The sequence below is a fragment of the Homo sapiens genome, chromosome 2, assembly GCF_000001405.40.
Source record: "Homo sapiens chromosome 2, GRCh38.p14 Primary Assembly".
Taxonomy (NCBI): Eukaryota; Metazoa; Chordata; class Mammalia; order Primates; family Hominidae; genus Homo; species Homo sapiens.
This window is the reverse complement of record NC_000002.12, coordinates 19909775-19928531: the sequence shown is the minus strand read 5'-3', so window position 1 is coordinate 19928531 and position 18757 is coordinate 19909775. Positions and strand designations below refer to the sequence as shown.

The 18757-nt window shown below is 40.3% G+C and overlaps 1 protein-coding gene across 3 annotated transcripts in view; it reads left to right on the top strand.

The window, feature by feature from the left end:
• WDR35 (WD repeat domain 35) overlaps window positions 1-18269 on the top strand; it is a 79843-nt gene extending 61574 nt beyond the window's left edge. For all 3 annotated transcript variants that reach the window (NM_020779.4, NM_001006657.2, XM_011533007.3), the window contains 2 exons: window positions 14255-14495; window positions 14824-18269. In NM_020779.4, the coding sequence (NP_065830.2) occupies window positions 14255-14495; window positions 14824-14974 (392 nt within the window). In that variant the 3' untranslated portion in view covers window positions 14975-18269. The remainder of the gene's footprint in view (window positions 1-14254; window positions 14496-14823) is intronic.

Sequence of the window (18757 nt, the reverse complement as noted above, 5' to 3'; positions counted from 1 at the left end):
TTTGAAATTCTACCTTAATGTGCCGAGACCAGCTCAGTCAGGGAGACCCTAACCAAGCGGCGCTAGAGGAATTAAAGACACACACACAGAAATATAGAGGTGTGAAGTGGGAAATCAGGGGTCTCACAACCTTCAGAGCTGAGAGCCCCGAACAGAGATTTACCCACGTATTTATTAACAGCAAGCCAGTCATTAGCCTTGTTTCTATAGATATTCGATTAACTAAAAGTATCCCTTATGGGAAACGAAGGGATGGGCTGAAATAAAGGGATGGGTCTGGCTAGTTATCTGCAGCAGGAGCATGTCCTTAAGGCACAGATTGCTCATGCTACTGGTTGTGGTTTAAGAACTCCTTTAAGCAGTTTTCTGCCCTGGGCGGGCCAGGTGTTCCTTGCCCTCATTCCAGTAAACCACAACCTTCCAGAGTGGGTGTTATGGCCATCATGAACCTGTCACAGTGCTGCTGAGATTTTGTTTATGGCCAGTTTTGGGGCCAGTTTATGGCCAGATTTTGAGGGGTGCCTGTTCCCAACATGTCCCCCTTCTTTGATTTGCAAATCTATAAAGGCAAGGACAGCTTTGTCATGGTGAGCTACTTCTTGCAGGAGTCAGGATCCACATCTGCAGACTATAGAAAGACAAACAACACAGATTAAAAGCACAATCATCATTGAAATTACAGGGCTTCCAAGTGTTTTTATCCATTTTAATGGATTACTAGCTGCTAATCTGTCTGCAGCTCCTTTAAGCACTCCAGTTCTTGGCATTAAGGTCAGGTGTCCCTGGGATGCTTTGAATATTTGTTCTTTTAATTTTGCTATATCCAAAAACAAGTTTGTAGAGTGTCCTTCTAGACGCTTTTTTATTCTTTCCCAAATTTTGATCTTGTTAAGAGCTATTAATAGTTTCCACAAATCCTTAATGTTTAGCTCCTAGAGCGGGCCATATCATTTGAGGTTGAGGTGCCACTATACCACCATGGTTCTAGATAATAGGAACTCTTGCCGTACTTCTTATTATATCTACCACCTGAACATTTTGTTGAGACCATCTGAACATAAGTATGGCATGGCACACAGACTGAGAAGTGCAATTCAAGCTAAACATCCCCTTAGGGGACCAATTAATAATGATTCCATAGGAATCATTGTGCAGCACCTCTGCCTGTTCTGCAATGCAATCTTCCTAAACAAGTACGTTCATTTTTTTCTGGCCAGGTTCAATTTTGTTTACAAATAGGTTTTTGAGGGCGGTATGCCTCAATTATAGGAGCAGATTTATTATGGTAAATACTGAGATCAGAAAGCTGTGTAACAGCATCATAGAGTGATTACATCTAGGCATTATTGCCAGCCAAGATTGATAAATATGCCCAATAAGTGTAATTGTTCCCTGTGTCAGCCCTTACTGAAGGAATACTCATAGCAGTGGTGATAACAGCTATCATAGCTACCATTAAATTACTCATTGTGACTGGTTGTCCCACTTTCCTCAGGTTTTCTTCCGCCATCTGTGACAGCTTCTTGATCTGTCCCCAGTTAGTTGACTGTGTTCAACGGGTGTTGCTTGCGACAGCTGGGGTCCTCCTCAGTGTCAGTCTCGAAATGGCTGCAACAGGGTGGGGGGGGTCCTCGAGATCCTCCCGGAATCTCTTCCTTGGCATCTGGCTCATGATAAGGTTTCAGGTGTCTTGATGGTATCCAAATCGGCTGTTGATTTTGGCCTGGAGAAACACAAGCATAACCTCTACCCCAAGTTATTATTTTACCTATTTCCCAACTTTTTGTTATCAGATCTCTCCACCAAACTAGTTGTTCTGCTTCTGTCTTTGCAGCTGGTTTCTGTAGATGCTGTTCAGCTGCTGATAACATCTGGCATTTGGGCAGGCTCAAAAAATTTAAAGTTAATAATGCTAGATTCAATTGTGTATGGGCTGTCCCATAATCCCTGTCTCTCCCTCTTTTTTGTTTTTGTCATCAGTTGTTCATCTGTATGAAATCATAACTGAGCATTTTCAATTAACTGTGTAGAATGAACCACGTATGAAGAATCAGATATCACATTAATAGGCAAATCAAAAGCAGTCATTACCTCAATTACAGCTACAAGCTTCGCTTTTTGAACTGAAGTATAGGGCGTCTGGAAAACTTAACCTTTTGATCCAGAATAAGAAGCTTTACCATGACTAGACCCATCTGTAAAACAATGAAAACACTTAGCAGGCTGCAGGTTGTTTACCACAGGAATTGTAAATGCAAACTGTTCACAGTCTTGCTCAGCTAAGGGGATAGTAAAGAAACAGTATTTTAAATCTATGACTATTAAAGGCCAATTTTTTGGAATTATAGCAGGAGAAGGCAATCCTGGCTGTAATGCTCCCATAGGTTGTATAACTGAATTGATGGCTCTTAAGTCAGTTAAAATTCTCCATTTACCTGATTTTTTCTTAATTACGCAAACTGGAGAATTCCAAGGGGAAAATGTTGGAGCTATGTGCCCATTTTCTAATTGTTTAGTAACTAATTTCTCTAAAGCCTCCGGTTTCTCTTTACTTAGTGGCCATTGTTCTATCCAAATTGGCTTATCTGTTAACCATTTTAAAGGTATAGGTTCTAGAGGCTTAACAATGAGCACCATCAAAAATGATATCCTAATCTTTGGCGGGAACTTTGTCTTTCCACTTGAAGCGGTTCTTCCAAAGCTTGCAGATTTTTTTCTAGTCCCATACCAGGGATATACCCCATTTCATGCATTATATGTTGACTTTGAGGGCTATATAATTGTTCTGGAATTAGAACTTGTGCTCCCCATTGTTGCAATAAATCTCTCCCCCATAAATTTATAGGTACAGAAGTTATAATTGGTTGAATAGTCCCAGGTTGTCCATCGGGCCCTTCACAATGCAAAATATAACTACTTTGATATACTTCAGGGGCTTTACCAACTCCAACTATGTTAAGTTGAGTGGGTTGAATTGGCCACGCAGATGGCCAGTGCTGTAGAGAAATGATTGAAATGTCCGCTCCTGTATCTACCAAACCTTTAAATTCTTTTCCCCTAAATAGTTACTTCACAGGTAGGACGTTTATCAGTAATTTGATTTACCCAGTAAGCTGCTTTGCCTTGTTTATTTGTGCTTCCAAATATATTGTGTTGGTTTAATTTCACTTTTCCCCATTCCCACATATGGCAGAATAAGGAGCTATGCTATGCACTCTCCTGGCTTCTTTCTAGGGAACAGAAGTAGATATAACAATTTGAATTTCCCCATTGTATTCTGAATCCATGACTCCTGTATGTATTTATACCCCTTTTAAACTTAAACTAGACTTTCCTAAAAGTAATCCTATTGTCCCCACTGGCAAGGGTCCACAGACCCTTTGCGGGGGTTCCCCAGGCAGAAGGCTCACAGTTTTGTGCAGCATAAATCTACTGCGGCACTACTGGCTGTGGCGGGGAACAGACATTGTACAGGGGTGAGGGAATGGCCTGAGCTGGAAATGCACCAGTTTGGAATGGGGCCCAGGACGGGCCCCTCATTGCATTTCCCAAAATCAGGTTCCCATCTTTATTAAACTTAGAGTGACACTGATTAGCCCAATGTCCTTTTTTACATTTTGGACATATTTCAGGCTCAGCAGTTTTCTTTTTTCAGCTATCTGGTGGCCTGACTTGCTGATTTTTTCTACATTCTTTTTTAGTATGACCATGCTTCCCACAGTTAAAACACCCTCCAGGAAATGGAGTATTTCCTTTATCCACTCTTAGTCCTGCCATTGCTCGTGCTAGCAGAGTAGCCTTATGCAGATTACCTCCGATAACATCACAGGCCTTGATAAAATCAACTAAATGTGCTTTCCCTCTGATAGGTCGCAGAGCAGCCTGGCAGTCAGGATTAGCATTGTCAAAAGCTAATAACTGCAGCACTATATCCTGAGCAGCCAAATCTGCAATCACCTTTTTGTTTTGAGATGAAATCTCACTCTGTCGCCCAGCCTGGAGTGCAGTGGCGCGATCTCGGCTCACTGCAAGCTCCGCCTCCCGGGTTCACGCCATTCTCCTGCCTCAGCCTCCTGATTAGCTGGCACTACAGGCGCCCGCCACCACACCCGGCGAATTTTTTGTATTTTTAGTAGAGACGGGGTTTCACCATGTTAGCCAGGATGGTCTCGATCTCCTGACCTTGTGATCCACCCCCCTCAGCCTCCCAAAGTGCTGGGATTACAGGCATGAGCCACTGCACCCGGCCTGCAATCACCTTTTTAAGAGACTCCTGTAACCAAGCTATAAAATCCACATATGGTTCTTTTGGTCCCTGTTTTATAGCACTAAAGGAAGCGTATTGTTCTCCACATAAAGGGATTTTTTCCCAAGCTCTAATGCACACTCCTCTAAGCTGTTCTATGGCATCATCCTGCATGACCACTTGTGCATCTAAACCAGCCCAGCCGCCAACCCCCAAAAGTTGGCCTGTAGTTATATTAATTTGAGGCTGGGCCTGGGCGTTGCAAGCAGCCTGAATGGAAGCTTCATGGGCCCACCAAGTTTTAAATTGTAAGAACTGAGCAGGAGTTAGACAAGCCTGAGTAAGAGCATCCCAGTCAGTAGGAATCATCTGACTGGAAACAGCAACATTCTTTAACAGTCCCATTACAAAATGAGAACCTGGTCCATACTGATTTATAGCTTGTTTAAATTCTTTGAGCAATTTAAAAGGAAAAGGCTCAAATGTAGCTGTAATATTTCCCCGTTGTTCTGGGGGGTGTATTCTAACAGGGAACTGTCAAGCCTGTAAATCACCCTCTCGTCTAGCTTGCTGAATTCCTGCCTGAATAGAACTAAGAGCAGTCACTCAAGGTGCTGTTCGAACAGTCACTGGGGCAACTCTTTTCATCCAGTGTCCTCTGGAAAAGAAAGATCTGGAGGGTCATTTTCTTCAAAATAATAATGAGGGGGTGCAGAAGGATAGGGATGAACCTCTCTCCTTTACCGCTTTAGCTTTAGCTGGCAAATAAACCTGCTCTGTAATCTCTTCTGTTACTTCGTTATACTCTCCTTCCTCCTCATCATCAGTGTGAAAAAGTTCCAAGGTGGAACGAACCACAGCCCACACTTTTCCCATTGTTACCCTGATGCTTCCGAGCTCCCCTTCTTACTCACTACGGGGATTGCTTTAAGAGTACTCAGGTGTCCTCCAGCTAGTTCCACGTTCTCCAACTGTTGCTCCAGCGACCCTTTGATCTGGATTCAAGCCCCCACGGTGGATGCCACTTGCCGAGACCAGCTCGGTCGGGGAGACCCTAACTCAGCGGTGCTAAAGGAATTAAAAACACACACACAGAAATATAGAGGTGTGAAGTGGGAAATCAGGGGTCTCACAACCTTCAGAGCTGAGAGCCCTGAACAGAGATTTACCCACGTATTTATTAACAGCAAGCCAGTCATTAGCCTTGTTTCTATAGATATTTGATTAACTAAAAGTATCCCTTATGAGAAATGAAGGAATGGGCTGAAATAAAGGGATGGGTCTGGCTAGTTATCTGCAGCAGGAGCATGTCCTTAAGGCACAGATCACTCATGCTACTGGTTGTGGTTTAAGAACTCCTTTAAGCAGTTTTCTGCCCTGGGCGGGCCAGGTGTTCCTTGCCCTCATTCCAGTAAACCCACAACCTTCCAGCGTGGGTGTTATGGCCATCATGAACCTGTCACAGTGCTGCTGAGATTTTGTTTATGGCCAGTTTTGGGGCTGGTTTATGGCCAGATTTTGTGGAGCCTGTTCCCAACATTCATGAAACTAAATTTATACTTTTTTTTAATTATACTTTAAGTTCTGGGGTACATGTGCAGAATGTGCAGGTTTGTTACATAGGTATACACATGCGTTGGTGGTTTGCTGCACCCATCAACCCGTCATCTACATTAGGTATTTCTCCTTATGCTATCCCTCCCCCAGCCCCCCACCCCCTACAGGCCCCGGTGTGTGATCTCCTGCCCCTGTGTCCATGTGTTCTCATTGTTCGACTCCCACTTATGAATGAGAACCTGAGGTGTTTGGTTTTCTGTTCTTGTGTTAGTTTGCTGAGAATGATGGTTTCCAGCTTCATCCACGTCCCTCCAAAGGACATGAATGCATCCTTTTTTATGGCTGCATAGTATTCCCTGGTGTATATGTGCTGCATTTTCTTTATCCAGTCTATCATTGATGGGCATTTGGGTTGGCTCCAAATCTTTGCTATTGTGAACAGTGCTGCAGTAAGCATACATGTGCATGTGTCTTTATAGTAGAATGATTTATAATCCTTTGGGTATATACCCAGCAATGGGATTGCTGGGTCAAATGGTATTTCTAGTTCTAGATCCTTGAGGAATCGCCACACTGTCTTCCACAATGGTTGAACTCATTTACACTCCCACCAACAGTGTAAAAGCATTCCTATTTCTCCACGTCCTCTCTAGCATCTGTTGTTTCCTGACTTTTTAATGATCACCATTCTAACTGGTGTGAGATGGTATCTCATTGTGGTTTTGATTTGCATTTCTCTAATGACCAGTGATGATGAGCTTTTCTTCATGTTTGTTGGATGCAAAAATGTCTTCTTTTGAAAAGTTTCTGTTCATATCCTTCACCCACTTTTTGATGGAGTTATTTGTTTTTTTCTTGTAAATTTGTTTAAGTTCTTTGTAGATTCTGGATATTAGCCCTTTGTCAGATGGGTAGGTTGCAAAAATTTTCTGTAGGTTGCCAGTTCACTCTGTTGATAGTTTCTTTTGCTGTGCAGAAGCTCTTTAGTTTAATCAGATCCCATTTTTCTATTTTGGCTTTTGTTGCCACTGCTTTTGGTGTTTTAGTTATGAAGTCTTTGCCCATGCCTATGTCCTGAATGGTATTGCCTAGGTTTTCTTCTAGGGTTTTTATGGTTTTAGGTCTTACGTTTAAGTCTTTAATCCATCTTGAGTTAATTTTTGTATAAGGTGTAAGGAAGGGATTCAGTTTCAGCTTTCTGCATATGGCTAGCCAGTTTTGCCAACATCATTTATTAAATAGGGAATCCTTTCCCCATTTCTTGTTTTTGTCAGGTTTCTCAAAGATCAGATGGTTGTAGATGTTTGGCGTTGTTTCTGAGGCCTCTATTCTGTTCCATTGGTCTATATATCTGTTTTGGTACCAGTACCGTGCCGTTTTTGTTGCTGTAGCCTTGTAGTATAGTTCGTAGTCAGTTAGTGTGATGCTTCCAGCTTTGTTCTTTTTGCTTAGGATTGTGTTGGCTATGCGGGCTCTTTTTTGGTTCCATATGAAATTTAAAGTTCTTTCTAATTCTGTAAAGAAAGTCAATGGTAGCTTGATTGGGATAGCATTGAATCTATAAATTACTTTGGGCAGTATGGCCATTTTGATGATATTGGTTCTTCCTATCCATGAGCATGGAATGTTTTTGCATTTGTTTGTGTCCTCTCTTATTTTCTTGAGCAGTGGTTTGTAGTTCTCCTTGAAGAGGTCCTTCACATCCCTTGTAAGTTGTATTCCTAGGTATTTTATTCTCTTTGTAGCCATTGTGAATGGGAGTTCACTCACGATTTGGCTCTCTGTTTGGCTGTTTTTGGTGTATAGGAATGCTTGTGATTTTTGCACATTGATTTTGTATCCTGAGACTTTGCTGAAGTTACTTATCAGCTTAAGGAGATTTGGGGCTGAGATGATGGAGTTTTCTAAATATACAATCATGTCATCTGCAAACAGGGACAATTTGACTTCCTCTTTTCCTAATTGAATATCCTTTATTTCTTTCTCCTGCCTGATTGTCTTGGCCAGAACTTCCAATACTGTGTTGAATAGGAGTGGTGGGAGAGGGCATCCTTGTCTTGTGCTGGTTTTCAAAGGGAATGCTTCCAGGTTATGCCCATTCAGTATGATATTGGCTGTGGGTTTGTCATAAATGGCTGTTATTATTTTGAGATATGTTCCATCAGTGCCTAGTTTGTTGAGAGTTTTTCGTATGAAGGCTGTTGAATTTTGTTGAAGGCTTTTTCTGCATCTATTGAGATAATCATGTGGTTTATGTCACTGGTTTTGTTTATGTGGTGGATTATATTTATTGATTTGCGTATGTTGAACCAGCCTTGCATCCCAGGGATGAAGCCAACTTGATCATGGTGGATAAGCTTTCTGATGCACTGCTGGATTTGGTTTGCCAGTATTTTATTGAGGATTTTCTCATAGATGTTCATCAGGGATATTGGCCTGAAATTTTTTGTTGTTGTTGTGTCTCTGCCACATTTTGGTATCAGGATGATGCTGGCTTCATAAAATGAGTTAGGGAGGATTCCCTCTTTTTCTGTTGTTTGGAATAGTTTCAGAAGGAATAGTACCAGCTCCTCTTTATACCTCTGGTAGAATTTGGCTGTGAATCCGTCTGGTCCTGGACTTTTTTTGGTTGGTGGGCTATGAATTGCTGCTCAATTTCAGAACTTGTTATTGATCTGTTCAGGGATTCGACTTCTTCCTGGTTTAGTCTTGGGAGGGTGTATGTGTCCAGGAATTTATCCATTTCTTCTAGATTTTCTAGTTTATTTGCATAGAGGTGTTGATAGTCTTCTCTGGTGGTAGTCTGTATTTCTGTGGGATTGGTGGTGATATCCCTTTTATCATTTTTTATTGCATCTATTTGATTCTTCTCTCTTTTCTTCTTTCATAGTCTAGTGGTCTATCTATTTTGTTGTTGTATTCAAAAAACCAGTTCCTGGATTCATTGATTTTTTGGAGGGTTTTTTGTGTCTCTATCTCCTTCAGTTCTGCTGTGATCTTAGTTATTTGTTGTCTTCTGCTAGCTTTTGAATTTGTTTGCTCTTGCTTCTCTAGTTCTTTTAATTGTGATGTTAGGGTGTTGATTTTAGATCTTTCCTGCTTTCCCATGTGGGCATTTAGTGCTATAAATTTTCCTCTACACACTGCTTTAAATGCATTCCAGAAATTCTGCTGCACTGTGTCTTTGTTCTCATTGGTTTCAAAGAACATCTTTATTTCTGCCTTCATTTCGTTATTTGCCCAGTAGTCATTCAGGAGAAGGTTGTTCAGTTTCCAGGTAGTTATGTGGTGTTGATGAGTTTCTTTTTTTTTCTTTTTCTTTTTCTTTTCTTTTTTTTTTTTTTTTTTGAGATGGAGCCTTGCTCTGTCACCCAGGTTGGAGTGCAGTGGTGCAATCTCAGCTCACTGCAAGCTCCGCCTCCTGGGTTCACACCATTCTCCTGCCTCAGCCTCCCAAGTAGCTGGGACTACAGGCGCCCGCCACCATGCCTGGCTAAATTTTTTGTATTTTTAGTAGAGATGGGGTTTTACCATGTTAGCCAGGATGGTCTCAATCTCCTGACCTCGTGACCCACCCGCCTTGGCCTCCGAAAGTGCTGGAATTACAGGCGTGAGCCACTGCGCCTGGCCTTGATGAGTTTCTTAATCCTGAGTTCTAATTTGATTGCACTGTGGTCTGAGAGACCATTTGTTATGATTTCTGTCTTTTGCATTTGCTGAGGAGTGTTTTACTTCCAATTATGTGGTCAGTTTTAGAATAACTGCCATGTGGTGCTGAGAAGAATGTATATTCTGTTGATTTGGGGTGGAGAGTTCCGTAGATGTCTATTAAGTTCACTTGGTCCACAGCTGAGTTCAAGTCCTGCATATCCTTGTTAATTTTCTGTCTTGTTGATCTGTCTAATATTGACAACGGGGTGTTGAAGTCTCCCACTATTATTGTGTGGGAGTCTAAGTCTCTTTGTAGGTTTCTAAGAACTTACTTTATGAATTTGGGTGTTCCTGTATTGGGTCCATATATATTTACGATGGTTAGCTCTTCTTGTTGCATTGATCCCTTTAACATTATGTAATGCCCTTCTTTGTCTCTTTTGCTTTTTGTCAGTTAAAGTCTGTTTTTTCAGAGACTAGGATTGCAACCCCTGCTTTTTTTTCTTATTATTGCTTTCCATTTCCTTGGTAAATATTCCTCCATCCCTTTGTTTTGAGCCTATGTATGTCTTTGCCCGTGAGATGGGTCTCCTGCATACAGCACACCAATAGGTCTTGACTATCCAATTTGCCAGTCTGTGTCTTTTAATTGGGGCATTTAGCCCATTTACATTTAAGGTTAATATTGTTATGTGTGAATTTGATCCTGACATTATGATGCTAGCTGGTTATTCTGTCTGTTAGCTGATGCAGTTTCTTCATAGCTTCGATGCTCTTTACAATTTGGTATGTTTTTGCAGTGGCTGGTACTGGTTGTTCCTTTCCATGTTTAGTGCTTCCTTCAGGAGCTCTTGTAGGAGAGGCCTGATGGTGACAAAATATCTCAGCATTTCCTTGTCTGTAAAGGATTTTATTTCTCCTTTGCTTATGAAGCTTAGTTTGGTTGGATATGAAATTCTGGGTTGAAAATTCTTTTCTTTAAGAATGTTGAATATTGGCCCCCACTCTCTTCTGGCTTTTAGGGTTTCTGCCGAGAGATCTGCTGTTAGTCTGATGGGCTTCCCTTTGTGGGTAGCCCGACCTTTCTCTCAGGTTGCCCTTAACATTTTTTCCTTCATTTCAACCTTGGTGAATCTGACAATATGTGTCTTGGTGTTGCTGTTCTCGAGGAGTATCTTTATGGTGTTCTGTGTATTTCCTGAATTTGAATGTTGGCCTGCCTTGCTAGGTTGGGGATTTTCCTGGATAATATCCTGAAGAGTGTTTTCCAACTTGGTTCCATTCTCCCCATCACTTTCAGGTACACCAATCAAACGTAGATTTGGCCTTTTCACATAGTCCCATACTTCTTGGAGGCTTTGTTCATTTCTTTTCACTCTTTTTTCTCTAATCTTGTTTTCTTGCTTTATTTCATTGAGTTGATCTTCAATGTCTGATATCCTTTCTTCTGCATGATCAGTTTGGCTATTGATACTTGTGTATGCTTCACGAAGTTCTTGTGCTGTGTTTTTCAGCTCCATCAGGTCATTTATGTTCTTCTCTAAACTGGTTATTCTAGTTAGCAATTCGTCTAACCTTTTTTCAAGGTTCTTAGCTTCCTTGCATTAGGTTAGAACATGCTCCTTTACCTTGGAGGAGTTTGTTATTACCCACCTTCTGAAGCCTGCTTCTGTCAGTTAATCAAATTCATTCTCCATCCAGTTTTGTTCCCTTGCTGGTGAGGAGTTGTGATCCTTTGTAGGAGAAGAGGTGTTTTGGTTTTTGGAATTTTCAGCCTTTTTGCTCTGGTTTCTCCCCATCTTCATGGATTTGTCTACCTTTGGTCTTTGAAGTCGGTGACCTTCGGATGGGGTCTCTGAGTGGACATCCTTTTTGTTGGTGTTGATACTATTCCTTTCTGTTTGTTAGTTTTCCTTCTAACAGTCAGGCCCCTCTCCAGCAGGTCTGCTGGAGTTTGCTGGAGGTCCGCTCCAGACCGTTTGCCTGGGTATCACCAGTGGAGGCTGCAGAGCAGCAAAGGTTGCTGCCTGTTCCTTTGGAAGCTTTGTCCCAGAGGGGCACCTGCCAGATGCCAGCCAATGCTGTCCTGTATGTGGTCTCTGTCGGCCCCTACATGGGTCCCAGGGACCCACTGGGAGGTGTTTCCTAGTCAGGATACATGGGGGTCAGGGACACACTTGAGGAGGCAGTCTGTCCCTTATCAGAGCTTGAACACTGTGCTGGTTGATCCGCTGCTGTCTTCAGAGCTGCCAGGTAGGGACGTTTAAGTCTGTTGGAGCTGCGCCCATAACCACCCCTTTCCCCAGGTGCTTTGTCCCAGGGAGGTGGAAGTTTTATCTATAAGTCCCTGACTGGGGCTGCTGGCTTTTTTTCAGAGGTGTCCTGCCCAGAGAGGAGGTAGTCTGGCTGCAGGGGCCTTGCTGAGCTGGGGTGGGCTCCGCCCAGTTTCAACTTCCCAGCGGCTTTGTTTACACTGTGAGGGTGAAACCGCCTACTCAAGCCTCAGCAATGGTGGATGCCTCTTCCCCCACCAAGCTCAAGCATCCCAGGTTAGCTCAAACTGCTGTGCTAACCATGAGACTTTCAAGCCAGTGGATCTTGAGCTTACTGGGCTCCATGGGGGTGGGACCTGCTGAGCCAGACCCCTTGGCTCCCTGGCTTCAGCCCCCTTTCCAGGGGAGTGAATGGTTCTGTCTTGCTGGTGTTCCAGGCGCCACTGGGGTATGAAGAAAAACTCCTGCAGCTAGCTTGGTGTCAGCTCAAACGGCCGCCCAGTTTTGTGCTGGAAACCCAGGGCCCCGGTGGCGTGGGCAGCGAAAGGAATCTCCTGGTCTGCAGGTTGTGAAGACTGTGTTAAAAGTGCAGTATCTGGGCCGGAGTGCACGGTACAGTCCCTAATGGCTTCCCTTGGCTAGGAGAGGGATTTCCCCATCCCCTTGCATTTCCCAGGTGAGGTGACGCCCCACCCTGCTTTGGCTCATCCTCCTTGGGCTGCACCCACTGTCCAACTAGTCCCAATGAGATGAACCTGGTACCTCAGTTGGAAATGCGGAAATCACCCACCTTCTGCGTCAATCTTGCTGGGAGCTGCAGACCAGAGCTGTTCCTATTCGTCCATCTTGCCAGCCAAGGCCAACTTTTTTTTTTTTTTTTTTTTTAGATGGAGTCTCGCTCTGTTGCCCTGGCTAGAGTGCAGTGGCATAATCTCAGCTCACTGCACGCTCCACGAGGTCAACTTTTTTAGATCTCACATATGAGTGAGAACATGTGATATTTGTCAGAAACATCTATTTTAGAAATCACTTATGTATCTGTGTTTCTAAAGATTTGTAGTTTTCTTCTTGCTGGCTCTAAAGGTTTATTTTTCAGTTTATTCCTAGTTTTGTTGTCATTAATGAGGTTGTAAATTTTTTTTCTAATTGGTTATTAGTTATATATAAAAATTATTTTTATGTTTATTTTATAACTGACCTTCATTTAGTTTTAACTAATATGTGACATAAATTATACACTGTTTAAAATAGCTGTATCATATTCAATTTATACACCATTTCTAGACTTAAAAGAACAATTAGATCTTTAACTTGAGATGCTTCACCTACTAGGTGAAGATCTCTATATGCCTCATTTTTTTTTTTTTTGTCAGTGGTAAGACGATCTGAAACAATGTATGACCTGTAAATTATTACCCTTGAACCTATCATGCTTTGGATATGAAATTAGAGGATATTGTTTATTGTAACTGAGTGATTACATTTTATATACATTTTTTCTACTACACTTTGTTGTAAATACTTGACCCCAGAACCAGTTTATAGGATTCTGATTGTAAAACACATGAATATATTGTTTAAACTGGTTTTATGAAGTTTTTGATATACTATAACAAAGTATTTTTAAGATTCCAAGGTCTAGAGAAGAAAAAGATACAAATTGGTTATAAATCTAATATTAAATCTTAATATTAAATCTAATATTAAGTCTGCTTTTTTTATTATACTTTAAGTTCTGGGGTACATGTACAGAACGTGCAGGCTTGTTACATAGGTATACATGTGCCATGGTGGTTTGCTGCACCCATCAACCGTCATCTACATTAGGTATTTCTCCTAATGCTATCCCTCCCCTAGCCCCCCACCCCCAACAGGCCCAAGAATACAGTGCATTTTAAAGAAAGATTTTTTCATCTCCAGTATAATTGCAAATAAGATGTTGTAACTTGAATTGTCTCAACTGACAACTTGGAGACTCATTTTCACTTTTTCACAAAATCCTATTGTTTCAGTGAGACAAATGACAAAAGCAGTAATACAAAAGCAATAATCTGTCCAAAGAAACACAGAGAAAAGAACATATTATTTTATACTGTTTTGCTTATATTGTTTTGCTTTTTTTTTAACAAAAGGAAACATGGTATTATCTTGCAGTTTATGACTAACATAGTATAATACTCATTTGCTTTTTATGAAGTGCCACAGAAATTTCTAACATAAATTGAAGAAAATGTGGATGTTTTGACACCAAAATTTTGTGTGTGTGTGTGTATTTCTGAGCTGGCACAGCCATGTGCAGCATTTGGTGGTGGTTCTTTTCATAGGATGAGCTGTTAGCCAGCTTCACAGAACCTTGGATATCATGTAGCCTAGTTCCTCCTCTTGGTGCTCCCATCTCTCAACACTGTTTGCTTTCAGTTCGTTCATGCAAGTTCAATGAAATCACCTTAACTTAGATTCTTCTTTTGCATGTTCATGATATCATAATAATTATTTTAAAAAACCCCAATTGCCCTGTTTTTCTTAGCTCTTCACCTGAAAGACTATGAAGACATCATCCCTCCTGTGGAGATCTACTCTCTGCTAGCACTCTGCGCATGCGCCAGCAGAGCCTTTGGGACTTGTTCAAAAGCTTTCATTAAACTTAAATCTTTAGAGACCCTCAGTTCAGAACAGAAACAGCAGTATGAAGACCTTGCTTTAGAAATCTTCACCAAACATACTTCAAAAGATAACAGAAAACCTGAATTGGACAGCCTTATGGAAGGGTAGGCTAATTTTAATTAGTGGATGCCATTCTATCTTATTAGAAGCTTGGATTTCTAGATGTACAATGTTTAATGTAGGAATTAAAGCACTGAATTTTGAAGCAATTCACATTAACATTATACCCTATTTTATTTATTTTTACAAGTGTATTCATGCTTTATTTTGTCATTGTAAGAAAGGTTTTTTCTTGAAATAACTTTTTTAAATGAAAGTATTTGATGTTCATCTCAGAAGTTTTATTCTTTAGGTTTTTTTTAAGTGTATTAAATAAAGTTAGACTAATGAGAAGTTTTAAAGTATAATGAATTGTTTCTCCCCGTTTTACAGTGGAGAAGGGAAACTGCCAACATGCGTTGCCACAGGAAGCCCAATCACTGAGTATCAATTCTGGATGTGCAGTGTATGCAAACACGGTGTCCTTGCTCAGGAAATAAGCCACTACAGCTTCTGCCCCTTATGCCATAGTCCAGTGGGATAAAGGAATGATAAACTGTATATAACTGTAAAATATATGTAGCATATATACATGGCTATATGCTGTATATGTAATAAGGTTTATTTCTGTGAGTTTTGTATGAAAATCAGCCTCATTATTTATAGTTGAATTTTTGCACAAAATATATGTTAATAAAATAATTTTTATGGCAATACAACTGTGAAATAATAAGGCCGATTTTCATATAAATGTATGAAAATCAACCATGTTTTCTCTCACCCTCTCTCTTTTGTTTATCTTGTTTTTGGTTACATGATACCATGGAAATATTCCAAATAAATTTTTTTCTCACAGTGTCAAGGTAACTGAATTCATTAAAAAATCTTGAAGGGAGTAGGGAGTGGGGGAAGCATGGGAGTGGGGCAAAGTTGAATTTAGAGAATTTTTATAACCCATGTTACAAGGAAGTTAAACAATTGTAATAATGAAATGAGCTTTCTCTATAGCCATATTTAATTAAATAAGTGTCGAATGTCTTCTTTATTGTATTTTCAGAAGTGAGGCGATGGCATTTTAAGACATTTTTTACAATCTGAATTGTTTCTAATAGCCCTATTCTTCTATTTTAAAACCTGTCCTTTTAGTCTCATTTAAGAGATGGCATTTGGAATTTACACTTTCATATGATTGTGCAGAAAACTTGCCTCTATTTATAATGAAGATAACTTAAACAGAAATATCCATTTTGTAGTTATAGCTTCTGTTGAAACATTGTCACTAAGTTGGACCGTTTATTTACACAAGTATTGTTGAGGGAGTGATTTTTTCTTGATATGCGTCTGTTTTCATTTATTATTAATTTGAAAGATAAACAGTTGTGATCCATAATGGATCATTTCTTATGTCTTTTACATAGCTAATAATGTTCTCTGTTTATTTCTCATGAATTCCCATTTTGTGGCTAAAGACCAGACCTTTGCACTATTTCATCAAGATTATTTTATTGAGGTTTGGCTTACATATAGTAGAGGCAATACATAGAGATACGCAACTTTGTTTTTGCAGCTACAATACACTTTCTCAATCTCATATGTTTTTGTCTTGTAGAGACAGAGACAAGTTCAGCATGTTGCAGATTGGGAATAGTGAGCTATGAGAAGAGATTTAGAGCCTAGATGAGCTTAGGATAGAGAGTGGGCTCATTGGCCTAAATAAAAAGAGAAGACCAGAAGTCTTTGAGGTCTCTGTCTCTATTCATGCGCCTCGTGGAAAATTACCTTGGTACAATGGTAGCCTCTAAATAGACTGCCTCGCAAGCTATTCCAGAGGTCATGGAACAGAAAGCCTTATAAACCAAATAAAAATTCTCAAAATACATTGGTTTATTGAACCAATTTGCAATACACAGTGAGGAACAAGGAGAAAGCAATGATAGATTAACACTGTTAGTGTAACGTGCCAGTGGAGTGGAAAGACCGCAACACCTGAATCCTGGGTTTTGTAATGTTTTTATGTCCTGACTCACATTCTGTCACATACGCTTTCCCCTAATAGTCGGGTTACAAAAAGGACCAGAGTGGCCGCTTGAGCCAGATGACTCAATCAGATGAAATGTGCCTGAGGCCAACGATGTACACTTGCTCTATAGAAGGGTGTCAGGGGCAAGTACACTTCACCACAGCAATAGCTTGCCTATTAGTCTGCTGAGCAGTCATGAATTTTATTGTATTTCTTGGGTAAGGACAGGCCAGAATGAGTGTCACCAGTGGGTAATTGAATCAACTTCTCACACATACTGAAGGCTTTATATGTCTCATGCATACTTAGTGTATCATGAATATTTGGTATCTTTGTGGCTTTTCATATTTTTAGTGCTTCATGAATATTTGGTATCTCTTGCTCCTTTCTATCTGTGGTCACACATACACGCTCTATTAACTTTGCCTAATAAGTCTCCTAGGTTACTAACTTACTTACCTAAATGTAACACAATGAATTCCAGCTTTCTCATTTGTTCTATACCAGAATGGGAAATTTCCCCAAATCAGAAAATCACATCCTAACAAAGAAGTCTGTCTAAGACAGTACATCTCCTGTTGAACTTGCATCTTTCCACAGGACTTTCTGTTTTTAGGGATGAGACTATTCTCTGCTTCATCAAGGAAAGAGAAATGTTCAGGGTTGTAGGGATGGCACACTTATTAGTTCTGCCTGTCTGAAAGGTTCCTGCAGGACAGTTTGGTCAGAGCTGCAATTCTTAGTCCATGGTCTAATGCTTGAGTATCTCTTCTTTCCCTTTCCTGTCTCAGGAATCAGCTGAGAATTCATTCGATTGTCATGCCTCTAGCCCCTTACTGTGATTTGTTGGTTGCACTTTCATTTGCTTTAGTTCTAGAATCACCTGTTGACTCCTCAGACTTCACCTAACTTTGGAAACTCTCTTTTGGAGGCTTCTCATTTCCCCCTAATTCTGTGCTGCCTGAGCCCTAGAATTTTCCCACCAACGAATTATTCCAGGTAGATCCTAAGTTGCTGGATCTAGTTGATATTTAAACAATATCTAGTTGATATTTCTCATTCAGTTGGATCCAGAAACCAGTATCTCTAAAAACAACCTCTCATACCTTGTGGACCTAATTTTGTGTGCGTGTGTGTGTGCGCGCATATGTATATAGACAGGCACATCTTTTTTACTTTTGTAAAAGCTTATGCCTCTTTGGTATCTATATCTGTGAAAGTTTTAATGATCTGCCATAATGTCTTGGGGACCTTTGTCTTCTGTGTAAATGGTACTAGAGAAAACACCTATATTATGAGTCAATCTAGTTGGTTTTATTCGACATGAAGGAAATTTCCAGATAACAACACTAACAAACTCTCCCTTGACTAGGGGGACAAAGAAAAGCAAAACTGACCATAAAAAACAATTACCTGGTGAGAAGTTGCATAAACAGAATTAGGTAGTATATTGAAGACAGCATCATTAAACAGTTATGTTGTTCTCCTTGCAAAAAACATGTACTGACTTCCCGTTGAGTAATGCCAAGTTGTTTTTTTTATTATAAAACTTGCCCTTCATTACATGTTTCAAAGTGGTGTGGTGGGCCAAAATATTGAAATGATGGAACTGACTGATAAAGCTGTACAAATAAGCAGTGTGCCTAACAAGCAACACAGTAATGTTGACATGCTTAATTCACAAATGCTAATTTCATTATAAATTGTTTTGCTAAAATACACTTTGAAACTATTTTTCTGTATTCCAAGAGCTGAGATCTTAGATTTTATGTAGTATTAAGTGAAAAAATACGAAAATAATAAACATTGAAGAAAAAAATAACTTGTGTTTATTCCACGTTTTCTTTATCTATAACTTACGGAGAACACGGTGTTTGCTGTGTCTTCATTTAAGTATTCTGATGGGGGTTGGTTAGGAGGGTATTGGGCTCCAGAGTGGAGAAGGGGAAAAGGGAGCAGGAGGTACAATAGATATACAATACCACTTTTGCTACCAAACAAGGGGGGAAAAACCCCAACAACCTTCCAGAGGCACTAGGCAAATGTCAGATATTGGAGGTTGCTGTGAGCTACTCCTTAATGGTCATGCTGAGTTCTCATTTAGGAACGAAGGAAATTATGTCCTACTAGACCTATAAGAGAAAATAAAGAATACTACATTTGATAATGTAGCTCCAAGATTTTCTACTCAGTTTCAAAATGAAAATAGGAATATTGTATTGCCTCTACTGTCTATTTTAAAGACCATTTTCTCAATTCATTTTTTTCTCTAAGAAACTAATATTTACTGGTTTTTTTTTTTTTGAA